At 49.2% G+C, this 13348-nt stretch overlaps 1 annotated feature.

Moving 5' to 3' along the window:
* Positions 2163-2664: an enhancer, noted in NCBI's record as "H3K4me1 hESC enhancer chr8:143157259-143157760 (GRCh37/hg19 assembly coordinates)". NCBI's record gives its function as "activates a minimal SCP1, AML or CMV promoter by ChIP-STARR-seq in naive H9 embryonic stem cells {active_cell/tissue: H9 hESC(naive)}" and the evidence as "EXISTENCE:reporter gene assay evidence [ECO:0000049][PMID:30033119]".

Here is a 13348-nt window from a genome sequence, read left to right on the forward strand (position 1 = left end):
ATGGCTGGGAGGCCTCCAGAAACTTACAATCATGGCAGAAGCTGAAGGGGAGGCAAGCACATAAATGGCCAGAGCAGGAGGAAGAGAGGTGGGAGGTGCTACACACTTTTAAACAACCAGATCTTGTGAGAACTCACTCACTGTCACGAGAACAGCAAAGGGACCATCTGTCCCCCAACCCCAGGATCCAATCACCTCACACCAGGCCCCTTCTCCAACATCGGGGACATGAGATTTGGGTGGGGACACAGATCCAAACCATATTAGTGGGGCTGAAACACCAGCACGCCACTGCCCACCTCCCGGCATCTTGTCACATGACAAAAATACATGCCGGCTTGGTTAAGCCACTTGACACACAGCTGAGCCCATTTCTGACATATTTGTGTTTGGAATATCTCATAATAAAATGATTAAATAGAAAACAAGGGATACATAGGAAATATTTCTAAGTATACCTGTGACAGTATTTCCTGACTTACAAACCTGTGAGTTGCAACAATTTAAAGGAAGACTTCCTATTCTCTTTGGCCAATAACATTCCATGCAGCAATTTGGGCCCAGCAACAACAAGACCAGGTTCACAACCACAGTGGACCAACAGGCCGACACGCCCTCCAGGGCAGTGAGCTTCAGCCCCGGAATGGGTTTGTTCATTCAGCACACATGCATTCATCCCTACCGTGCACAGGCCCCAAGAGATACAGCAGTGAGACCAGGATAATAAGGTCCCCTCCTTCCAAGAAAAGACTAATACTAATTGCTAGTTAGTAAAAGTCAGTTTCCTAGGTTGCAAGCAACAGAAAATCTCAGCTCACCTAAGAAGAAGGGGTTCTTTAGAAGGCCTTAGGGGTTAACAGAGCAGCTGAAGGGCTCAGGTGTGAGACAACAAGGAAGCTAGGCTTTCCCCAGGGACCCCAAATGCAGGATCTGAGTCCCCCGAAGAGCCTGAAACCTCACAGCGCAGGCTGTGGCCAAATGCAGAGGTCCAGTGGGGCAGGGCTAGAGGAGCCTCTGGGTGTGGGAGGTGGGATTCCTGTCCATGGCTGTCCCCTCCTCCCTTTGCTGTGAGGAGTTAGCCTGCACTGCCCACCCACGGAGGTTATATTTCACCAAGTGGCTTGTGCTGGCCAACGGAATGTTACTGGAGTTGATGAACGAAGAGGCTTCGGAAGTGTTTGTAGTTTGCTTTGTTCTCTTGGGCTTCTGCCACTGGCCATGGAAGAATATACCCTGGATGGCTGCTGCTTGCAGAATGTGGGATGGCGGGGCAGCCTGAACCCACGTGCAGCTGGGAACCCAGCCTGGCCAAGCCCAGCCACACCCGGCAGAGCACAGACACACAGACACACTCACACCTGTGAGCAAGAAGTCAACACCTAGGCTGTGTGATCTGAGTGTGTACCACACAGCCTTGCAGCACCGTGGCTGACACATACAGGGACAGAGGGATGCCTGGGCTCAGGTCCTGAAGGAGAGTAAGAGTTCCAGAGCTGAAGGAGAGAGACATCCCTGGAACACTAATGCTGTGAGGCTGAAAATGTGGCACGTATACACCATGGAATACTATGCAGCCATAAAAAATGATGAGTTCATGTCCTTTGTAGGGACATGGATGAAATTGGAAATCATCATTCTCAGTAAACTATCGCAAGGACAAAAAACCAAACACCGCATGTTCTCACTCATAGGTGGGAACCGAACAATGAGAACACATGGACACAGGAAGGGGAACATCACACTCTGGGGACTGTTGTGGGGTGGGGGGAGGGGGGAGGGATAGCATGAAGAGATATACCTAATGCTAAATGACGAGTTAATGGGGGCAGCACACCAGTATGGCACATGTATACATATGTAACTAACCTGCACATTGTGCACATGTACCCTAAAACTTAAAGTATAATAATAATAATAATAATAATAATAAAAGAATTGCCTTATCAAACTCGAGCATTTTACTGATGGGAAACCCCACCAACAGTGCACACTGGAGGTGGGGCAGGGAAATAGGACAGGGGAGAGCAGAAATGCCACAGGGAGCCAGTTACGCGGAGTGGGGGAGGGTGGCACAAGGATAAAAAGTACAGTCCTCACCACTGAGAACATCAGGGACCACTTCAGGATAACGGTCTTGAAGAACAAAGGTTCACGGTAGCCTCGTGGTCTGGGTGCAGTTACACATTCGCCTCCTAGCAACGGAGGCCTCCACATTCCCCTCAGCTTCACCACGTTTATAGCTAATGGATTCCTCAGCCCCGTGGCTAAACTCACACGGTGCTGTGCTTCTTCAGTTCAAACATTCCCTTTCTGCTTGCCGTTTTGGGGTCTAAAATAAACATGTGCCCTGAAGATAAAGGAAGAAATCCAAAACTGCGTCTAATGATATATTAATAGCACAAAAATGCTCAAGCTGGGGGCATGTCAGAAAAAATGCAGTGCAAAGGAAAATACTGTTAAAAGCTGTGGGTGTGAAGGGAGGAAACCGAGTCGTTTTGCAGCCTTGCCTCTGCCCCCTCACAGAGCAGCTGTGCTCTGGGACTTGGTTGCTCCACCGCGCCAGGTGGGAGGGAAGGCAAAAGGAGGGGACCACCATGGATCCTTCCAGCTCCGCCCTCTCTCAGGCCAATGGTCTTAGGTTCTGAGAGCAGTGAATATCCCCTCCCTCCTGAGCTCATGCTGCGGCTCGGTCCTTTAGGCCTCCTCTGATGAGGCCCTGCTCTTCTTGAACCCCAAGGTCACCCATTCTAGCCTCATGCCCCACCTCTTCAATGAGCCCTTGCTGACCATGCCTGCCCCCGGCTCCTTCTCATGACCCTCACCCTCAGCCACCACCTCACCTGTGCTTGGTCAGCGAGATTGGTTGGAAGAATCACTGACCCTGGCAGCCAGAAACCAGAAGTCCTGCCACAGCCCTGACCCTCACTACCTGGCCCATGAACTCTGACCTCTTAACTTTTAAGTAAGTAACTTCTGTCCTCCTCACCAAAATGTTTGTTTGCCAGTGTAGACTGGGTTTTTTCTGATGATTGAATGGGAATGGTGCATGTGGAAATGCTTTATAAACTGTAAAACAATAAACATGGTGCCCAGGACAGGCCAGCATGGAGTGGCAGACACAGAATCACCCTCCTATCTAAAACCATAAAAAATAGGCAGAACCTGTGTTTTTAAGATACTAGACAGCAGGAACAGTGATCACCGTGGGTGGGAAATGAACAAGGCGGCACTGGAGTGGGCTCAGCCGACCGCCTTGAGTGAGTTTCCAGGCTGCTGCTCAGGGAGGGGAGACCCAGGCAGAGGCCAGCGAAGCCCCTGGGTTGAGGAGGTCGGGTCTGGAGAGACCTCGGGGTTCACTGAGTAGAAAAAGCTGCTCAGGGGATGCCAGGTATGCAGAAAGTTCCACATGTAGACAGTTGCATGTATGTGTAAAGAAACCAGCCAAAGCCAGAGAAATAACTTTGCAGGAGGACTTGAGGAGAAGGTGCCTGGAACGCACAGAAAGCCAGGAACAGTGTCTGTCCCAGCCAGCCTCACCCTCCCAGAAAACTCCAAACTCCGCCAGAGAAAAAGATGAATTACCGTTGATGAAGCTTATGTTTAAAACTTTTGCTCTGCGAAAGACATTTCTAAGAAGATAAATAGACAACTCACAGACTGAGAGAAAATATTTGCAAATTATGTATACAATAAAGGACAAATATCCAGAATATAGAAAGAACTCATAAAATGCAATGACAAGAAAATAAAGTCCAAGTTAAAAAAAAAATGGGCACAAAAAATGTGAACAGGCACTTCACCAAAGATGACATACAACTTGAGGTCAGGAGTTCAAGACCAGCCTGGCCAACATGGTGAAACCCCGTCTCTACCAAAAATACAAAAATTATCTGGACGTGACCTGTGCCTGTAATCCCAGTTACTTGGGAAGCTGAGGCAGGAGAATTGCTTGAACGTGGGAGGTGGAGGTTGCAGCGAGCCAAGATCGTGCCACTACACTCCAGCCTGGGTGACAGAATAAGACTCTATCTCAAAAAAAAAAGACACATCACTGACAAATAAGTACTAGAAATGATGCTCAACATCCTTAGTCATTACGGAAAGGTGAATTAAAACCACAGTGAGACAGCACTATACACCTAGTAGAATGGTGAACACTATGAGCCTATTAGAATGGCTACAAATATTTTTTCAAAAGCTAACAATGCCAAATGCTGGTAAGGATGTGAAGCCACAGAACCTTATACTTACTGTTGGTGTGCATGCAAAGTGCTTCACCTGCTTTGGAAGAGTTGACACTTTCTCATAAAGGTAAACACACACCTACTGTAAGCCCAACCAACCCCACTTTAAGTTCTAGGTATTCACCAAACTGAATTGAAAATCTGTGTTCCCACAGAAAAAGGCGAGTGTGAATGTGTATGAAAGCTGTATTCATCAGCACTCCAAGCTGGAGGCAGCCAGGTGCCCTTCAACAAGTGAGTGGACAAACACACTGACATGTCCAGTGCAATCCCACTCAGCAACAAGATGAACCAGAGGGTCATCCGTGCAGCCACCGGGTGCATCTGAGGTGCATTTTGCCAGGGGAAGGAAGTTAGACCCAAAGGATCTAATCTTATGCTTCAGTTTATATGACATTCTGGAAAAGACAAAACGATAGGAATGAAAAGCAAACCACTGGCTTTCACTGACTGGGGATTGAGGGAGAGAAGAGGAGCCACAGAGGCCCCATTTAGGGTGGGGGAGGGAATTGTTCTGCATGTGCCTATGAGTGTGGATATGTGACTCTGTGTCCTTGGCAAATCCCACAGAAATGTGTATCCACAAGGTGAACTTCATTGTTCCGTTTTGTGTTTTTAAATCTAAGGAGGAGTCTGGAGCCCCAGGATGGGTTTAGCCATGAGAGGTGCCTCTCCCGGTGCTACACATTGTGGCGGGGCCTCGCCAAGCGTGGGTGGGAAGAAGCTGACCTGGGTAACTTCAGAGAATTGAGTGTGACTAGGCCCTGGAAAGCAGGAACAAAAAGCACCGCACTTAGCCGTTCTCTAGGGGGTAAACTTGTTTCGTACAAGGATATGGGTTACTGATTCTGAAAGTAGACATGTACGAGAGTTGAACAAATAAATAAATAGACCAGGCATTGTGGCTCATGCCTGTAATCCCAGCATTTTAGGAGGCCGAGGCGGATGGATAACCTGAGGTCAGGAATTTGAGACCAGCCTGGCCAACATGGTGAAACCCTGTCTCTGCTAAAAATACAAAAATTAGCCAGGTGTGGTGACATGCACCTGTAATCTCAGCTACTCGGGAGGCTGAGGCAGGAGACTTGCTGGACCCTGGGAGGCAGAGGCCACAGTGAGCCGAGATGGTGCCACTGCACTCCAGCCTGGGTGACAGAGTGAGACTCCATCTCAAAAAATAAAATAAAATAAAATATGTAGATATGAAGCCAGGTTTCTCAATGTTAGTGACAAAAGTCAGCAATAAGCAAGAAAGAAAGTAACAAAAATCCCTGCAGGGCTGGTGTGGAGTCAGAGATGGCAGTGTGGGCTCAGACTTATTTTCACACATATACAGGTAGATTGATGCAGAATAAATACAGAAGTGCACATAGCACTTGCATGTATGTACATACACACACATATGTAAACACACACACACGTGTGATCTCTAGCAGTGTCCTGGGAGCAGGGACACCCCAGTACAGCAGGCACCCCCAGGACCCAGACCTCGGTGTCTGGACACCCTTGCAGCACCCCTGGAGAAATGGCTACTTCTAGGGGGTAAGACCCACCTGGGGCTTGTGGCAGTGCCAGGAAGTAAGGAAATGTCAGAAAAAAAGAAAGAAAAATGAGCCTGCCATTCTGGGAAGCCAGACTTCAAAGGACCTTCCCAAAGCTTTCTTCTATAAGAAAGGGGTGCCAGTGACGTCTGCCCTGGAGGGTCCTCATGGAGCTGAAAGGTGTCACAATGCCCTGCCTCCAATTGTCCTCTGCGCAGTTGTGCTCTCAGCTTCCCGACCTCCCCTCCTCTCTGCAGGGACGAAGCTACTCTCCCAAGGTCAGGGCTGTGAGTGAGGGGCCAAGGTGACTTGCCTCTGGGTCCGGAGCCCCTTCCTCTGCCTCATTTTGTACTCCTTGGCCACCCTGTGTCCCTCACAGCCCAGGCTTGCTCCAGAGCAGCTGGTATTTATGCTGCAGGTATGGAGGGCACACGGCAAGGGGGGCGTGACTGGCAGGCCTGGTACCCTGGACTCCACTGCCCATTAATGTGGATGGCAGCCCCACAGGACTGTGGGAACAAAGAACAAGGGCCCACCTGCTCCTGAGACCAGGGGGGCACATTTGAAAACTGTCAGTCAATGCCCTTGGCTGGGCACTGGGCGTCAAGAACCCATTTCTTCAGCACTAACATCTGTCCCTACCACTTCTGGTGGGGAAGGTCAGGCATAGACCAGAAAATCAATGGTTGGCATGGACCTGGGTACCCAGGATGGCGATTTGCCGGTAACTGCAGACTTGGCTTAGCCTGCCAACTGGTGGCAGGCACCAGCAGCCTTTAGGTCAGATACAGTGGTGGGGGTGTTGGCTCCCGGGGGTTCTTATCAGGAGCCCTCTGCCTGATGAGAAAGTACTGCACCCCCTCACCTCTGCCGGCCAGGGCAGTATCTAGAGAATGGGCAGACTGGACACCACCCCCAGGCTCCCCTCTCCTCCCTGTCCTGAGCATGGTCATGACCCTCACAAAGCCCTTTCACACCCACCTGATAAATAACAAGACTGAAGCTCCGAATCAGGACGTCAGGGTGTGCCAGAATTGGCACAGACACACACAGGCCTCTCTCTTCATTGGTTTTCTCAAAGCGAGTCTTCGATGGATCCCTAATTCTAGGAGACACCCCAGATGAAAAGGGTCTCAGGGCAAATAGGTTTGATAAATCACATATACTCTGTGGTCCCTTGGAGAGTGGCGGAGAACAGAGCCGATTCAAGGCTCTGAGAAGTCCTGCAGCCGGGAAGCCTATCTAACTTTTTCAGCAAGCCTTTTACTTGGATGGGCCTAGAGTTGCCCTTCACAGTAATACACATCCCAGGGACTCACGCTGAAGCCCCTGTGGTTGATCCCATTATGAAGCTTACTATCAAGCCACTAAGTCGCAGAAATATGTGCTAACACTACACGAGCTACCGAAAGAGCCAGCGTCATGCGTTCCTCCTTGAATCGTACTCCATCTTTTACAAATAAGAATCAGCAGATCCACCAGTGACTTCAAACTTCCAGGCTGCAGAGCTCATGAGAACGCGTATCCCTCTGACGGCTTCAGTGTCCTCCTCTCTGAAAGCCCGCCCTCCTTTAATGACCACCACGCGGCCCTCCTCATCCACCCACTGTTTTTCTGGCTACTTCTTCAGCCACGTTGTGCACGCGTGCATGTGTGTGTGTGTATGCGTGTGCGCACGCACGCGTGTGTGTGTGTTTAGGTGGTTATTGGGCAAACCAACATATGTGTGTAATTTCTTTATAGTAGGAAAACACAAAAGGGCACAAAATGGAAAGAGACCACCCTCCCCAACCCAGACCACCCTCGACGTATTTCCTGAGGCAGCCACTTGGAGCCACCTCAGGATTTGCTCTCCTAGTGGGCCTCACTGAACCTCTCAATGAGAAGCCTTTCCCCTGGTATGTTTTTCTGGGTTGTTTCATTGCTGAGTGACACTCCAGGACTTCCAGCTTCAGCTGAGAGGCACAGAGCCAGGAAGCCCATCTCTCCCACTCTTACAGAGAGAGCAAAGCTGGAGAGCTGTCAACCCCCTGCTTCTAGGGACCCATCAGAGAATGGGCACCACGGGACAGCCCCTAACCTGAGACTGAGGAAGGCAAGTGGCTGCAGGGAAACAGGGCATGCAGGGTGGCCTACTTGTGGCAGGCACCGAGAAGCTGATCAAGGGACTCAGGCGGCTACCGTAAGGACACAGACCCTTCAGGGCTGAGGTATAGGGAGGGTTGTCCCTTCTAGCAGAATTTTTCCCACAAACTCCACCATGTGCTTATAGGAAGATGTGGGATTTTCCTGAAAACCTTCCCCATGGTCCGGTTGGAGGGAAACAACCTCAGCCACTGCTAAAAAGCTGCACAAGTCCATCGGTTCCAGCTTCCTACAGAGAAAATAGCCTTCGTCTGCAGGAGGAAAAGCCACAAAAGTGGGCACGAATGGAAACCCCCCACAGCTGGGAGAGGGAAGAGAAAATATCAAAACGTCGAGCCCTGGGGGTGACGCGAGATCACGGGCTATGACCAGAACTAAAGCCAGAGGAGCCATGGTTGTGAGGACCACATCCCAGACACACACCCCAGACATACACCCCCCACACACACACATCCCAGACACACACCCCAGACACACATCCCAGACACACACCCCAGATACACACCCCAGACACACACACATCCCAGACACACACCCCAGACACACATCCCAGACACACACCCCAGATACACACCCCCCCACACACACATCCCAGACACACACCCAGACACACACACACCCCAGACACACATCCCAGACACACACCCCAGATACACACCCCCCACACACACACATCCCAGACACACACACACCCCAGACACACATCCCAGACACACACCCCAGATACACACTCCAGACACACACACATCCCAGACACACATCCCAGACACACGCCCCAGACACAACGCCCCAGACACACACACATCCCAGACACACACCCCAGACACACATCCCAGACACACACCCCAGATACACACCCCAGACACACACACATCCCAGACACACACATATCCCAGACACACACCCCAGGCACACACACATCCCAGACACACACCCCAGACACAGACACATCCCAGATACACACTGTAGACACACACCCCAGACACACACACATCCCGGACACACACACACCCCAGACACACACACATCTCAGACACACACCCCAGACATACACCCCCCACACACACACATCCCAGACACACACCCCAGACATACACCCCCCACACACACACATCCCACACACCCCAGACACACATCCCAGACACACACCCCAGATACACACCCCAGACACACATCCCAGACACACACCCCAGATACACACCCCAGACACACATCCCAGACACACACCCCAGACACACATCCCAGACACACATCCCAGACACACACTCCAGACACACACACATCCCAGACACACACCCCAGACACACATCCCAGACACACGCCCCAGACACACGCCCCAGACACACACACATCCCAGACACACACCCCAGACACACATCCCAGACACACACCCCAGATACACACCCCAGACACACACACATCCCAGACACACACCCCAGACACACACACATCCCAGACACACACCCCAGACACAGACACATCCCAGATACACACTGTAGACACACACCCCAGACACACACACATCCCGGACACACACACACCCCCCAGACACACACCCCAGACACACACACATCTCAGACACACACACACCCCAGACACACATCCCAGACACACACACATCCCAGACACACATCCCAGGCACACACACATCCCAGACACACATCCCAGACACACACCACAGACACACACATCTCAGACACACACACACCCCAGACACACACCCCAGACACACACACATCCCAGACACACATTCCAGGACACAGGTTCTGTGGAGGCAGAGGCTCAATCAGAAACTCAGAGAAGCCCCTCCTCGCCTCTACCCACAGGTAAACAAGCATCCAGTAAAATAAGAGTGGGATAAAGCAGGAGAGAGGCGGGACGCAGGCTCTCCCGGAGTCCAGCGTGGAATGAAGCAGGAGAGAGGCAGGATGTGGGCTCTCCCAGGGTCAGTGTGGAATACAACAAGAGAGAGGTGGGATGCGGGCTCTCCCGGGGTCCAGCATGGAATACAGCAGGAGAGAGGCAGGATGCAGGCTCTCCCGGGGTCCAGCGTGGAATACGGCAGAAGAGAGGCGGGATGCGGGCTCTCCCGGGGTCCAGCGTGGAATGAAGCAGGAGAGAGGTGGGACGCGGGCTCCCCCCCAGGGTCTAGCGTGGAATGAAGCAGGAGAGAGGCGGGATGCGGGCTCTTCCAGGGTCCAGCGTGGAATGAAGCAGGAGAGAGGTGGGATGTGGGCTCTCCCAGGGTCAGTGTGGAATAAAGTATATCTAGAGAAATTATCCAAACTGGAACACAAAGAGAATTTAGAAGGGGAGTGGGGAGCAGGGTGGGGAGAGACAGAACAGAGCATCCAAGAGCCGTGCAACCCCATGCAGTGGTCTAAAATATGGATAACTGGACTCCCATGAGGGGAAGAAAGAGAGAATGGGACAGAAGAAATATGTGAGGAAATGATGACCAGTATCTGTTTTCAATTCATGAAGGACACCAAACCGCAGATCCAAGAAACTCAGGTAACACCAAGCAGGATCAACTACCCTCCTGCCTCACCACCAAAATATTCAAACTTCACCAATATTCAATATTCATGCCTTGCTTCTTCATATGCCTCATTGATTATAGTCAGAACACCAAAAATTGAAATCTTTAAGGCAGACAAAGTGGAGAAAAACAGATTACCTGCAGAGGAGCAAAGTTAAGAATTACAGCTGATTTTCACTGGAAATCATGCATGCAAGCAGACAATGGAGTGGCATCTTTAACGACATTTTTTTAAAAACCTGTCAACCCCATATTCTTCTTAAAATTCTTCAAAATTGGAGTAAACCTTTATGTAATAATAGAGAAATGTGAACCCTGCCTGAATATTTGATAATATCAAACATATTGTTCATTGTTGATGTGTGATACTGTTAACTATTTTATGATTTTAAAGTAGTCACGATCTTGGCCAGGCGCGGTGGCTCTTGCCTGTAATCCCAGCACTTTGGGAGGCCGAGGGGGGTGGATCACCTGAGGTGTGAGCTTGAAAGCAGCCTGACCAACATGGAGAAACCCTGTCTCTACTAAAAATATAAAATTAGCCAGGCATGGCAGTACATGCCTGTAATCCCAGCTACTCGGGAGGCTGAGGCAGGAGAATCACTTGAACCCAGGAGGCAGAGTTTGCGGTGAGGCAAGATTGCACCATTGCACTCCAAAAAAAAATTAGAGAGAAATTAAATTTGTTTTTCAGAAAAAGTAGTCATGATCTTTTACAGATACACATTAAGATTTTATGTGTGAGATGATCTGATTTGTGGGATGCAGCGGGAGGGTGTGAATGAAAGGAGATAGAGGCTGGGGACAGTGGCTCATGCCTGTAATCTCAGCACTTTGGGAGGCTGAGGTGGGTGGATCACCTGAGATCAGGAGTCCGAGACCAGCCTGACTAACATGGTGAAACCCTGTCTCTACTAAAAATACAAAAATTAGCTGGACATGGTGGTGGGTGCCTGTAATTCCAGCTACTTGGGAGGCTGAGGCAGGAGAATCAATTGAACCCAGGAGGTGGAGGCTGCAGTGAGCTAAGATCATGCCCCTGCACTCCAGCCTGGGCAACAAGCGTGAGAACTCTGTCAAAAAAAAGAAAGAAAAGAGAAGAAAGAGAAGAGTAAAGAAGAGAAGAGAAAAGAGAAGAGAGAGGGAGGGAAGGGAGGGAAGGAGAGAGAGAGAGAAAGAGGGAAAGAAGGAAGGAAAGAAAGGAAGGAAGGAAGGAAGGAAGGAAGGAAGGAAGAAAAGAAAGAAAGAAAGAAAGAAAGAGAAAGAAAGAAAGAAAGAAAGAAAGAAAGAAAGAAAGAAAGAAAGAAAGAAAGGAAGGAAGGGAGGGAGGGAGGGAAGGAAGGAAAGGAAGGAAGGAGGGAAGGAAGGAAAGAAAGAAAAAGAAAGAAAGAAAGAGGGAGGGAGGGAGGGAAGGAAAGGAAGGAAGGAAGGAAAGAAAGAAGGAAAGAAAGAAAGGAGGAAAGAAAGAAAGAAGAAAAGAAAAGAAGAGAAAAGAAAAAAGAAAGGAGGGAGGGAGGGAGGGAAGGGAGGGAGGGAAATGGGCCTGGTACCAATTGTTGCTAGCGCTGGGGAGTGATGGTTAGGGTTAGATGGAGCTCATTACACAGCACCATCTAATTTTAAAAGGGTTGAAAAATTTTGATAATAAAATGTAAGAGTTAGTAAAAAATGGAGAGATCAAGACTTTCTCAGACAAACAAAACCTAAGGGAGTTATTGCTAATAGATCTGCTCTCCAAGAAATGTTAAGAAACATTCTCCGGGCAGAAGGAGTACATCAGTCAGAAACATGTCACTGTAGGAAGAAACAAAGAGTTCGAAATAAAATTGATGAAGGTACAATAAATGTTCTTTCTTTAGTTTTAATTGGTCAAAATAAGGGTCAGCAAGCTTTTTGCTAGAGTGACAGGTAGTAAGTGTTTCAGGTTTTGTGGGCCAGGTGATCTCTGTCATAGCTACCCAACTCCACACTCAACTTTGCCATCATAGCACAAAAGCAGCCATAGACAGTCCTTAAACAAATAGGTGTGGCTGCGTGCTAATGAAGCTTTATTGACAAAACAGGCTGGGGGCCATAGTTTGCTGACCTCTGCTCTAAGATAGCTGCCCAAGAAAAAACAGTAGCACTGTCTTATGTTTATAGCACATGTAAAAGTAAAGTATACATCAATAGCACAAAAGCTGACAGGAGGCAGGGGGCTGCCTGGGAATATACTCTTAGGTCCTTATATGGAAATGGTGTCATATTATTTGAAGGTATACTCAGGTTACTTTAAAATGTATATTACACATTCTAGGACAACTGCTAGTATTTTTTTTTTTTTTTGAGACAGACTCTTGCTATGTCGCCCAGGCTGGAGGGTAGCAGAGGCCCGATCTTGGCTCACTGCAAGCTCCGCCTCCTGGGTTCATGCCATTCTCCTGCCTCAGCCTCCTGAGTAGCTGGGACTACAGGTGCCCACCATCATGCCTGGCTAATATTTTTTGCATTTTTAGTAGAGATGGGGTTTCACTGTGTTAGCCAGGATGGTCTTGATCTCCTGACCTCATGATCCATCCGCCTTGGCCTCCCAAAGTGCTGGGATTATAGGCGTGAGCCACCGCACCCGGCACAACTACTAGTATTTTATAAAAGAGATATAAATAGTAAGTCAATAGAGTGGATAAAAGGGGATTATAAAACATGTTCAATTAAACCCAGAAGAGACAGGAAAAGAGGAAAAAAGAAACAAAACACAAGTGGAACAAATAGAAAACAGCCAACAAGATGACAAATTGTAATGCAACAGTCTTCTATAGTCACTTTGTGAATAGTCTAATGCAGCCATGTGTCACTTAACAATGGAGATCCATCCCAGGAAGCGAGTTGTAAGGTGA

Source organism: Homo sapiens, chromosome 8 (assembly GCF_000001405.40).
Source record: "Homo sapiens chromosome 8, GRCh38.p14 Primary Assembly".
Lineage (NCBI taxonomy): Eukaryota > Metazoa > Chordata > Mammalia > Primates > Hominidae > Homo > Homo sapiens.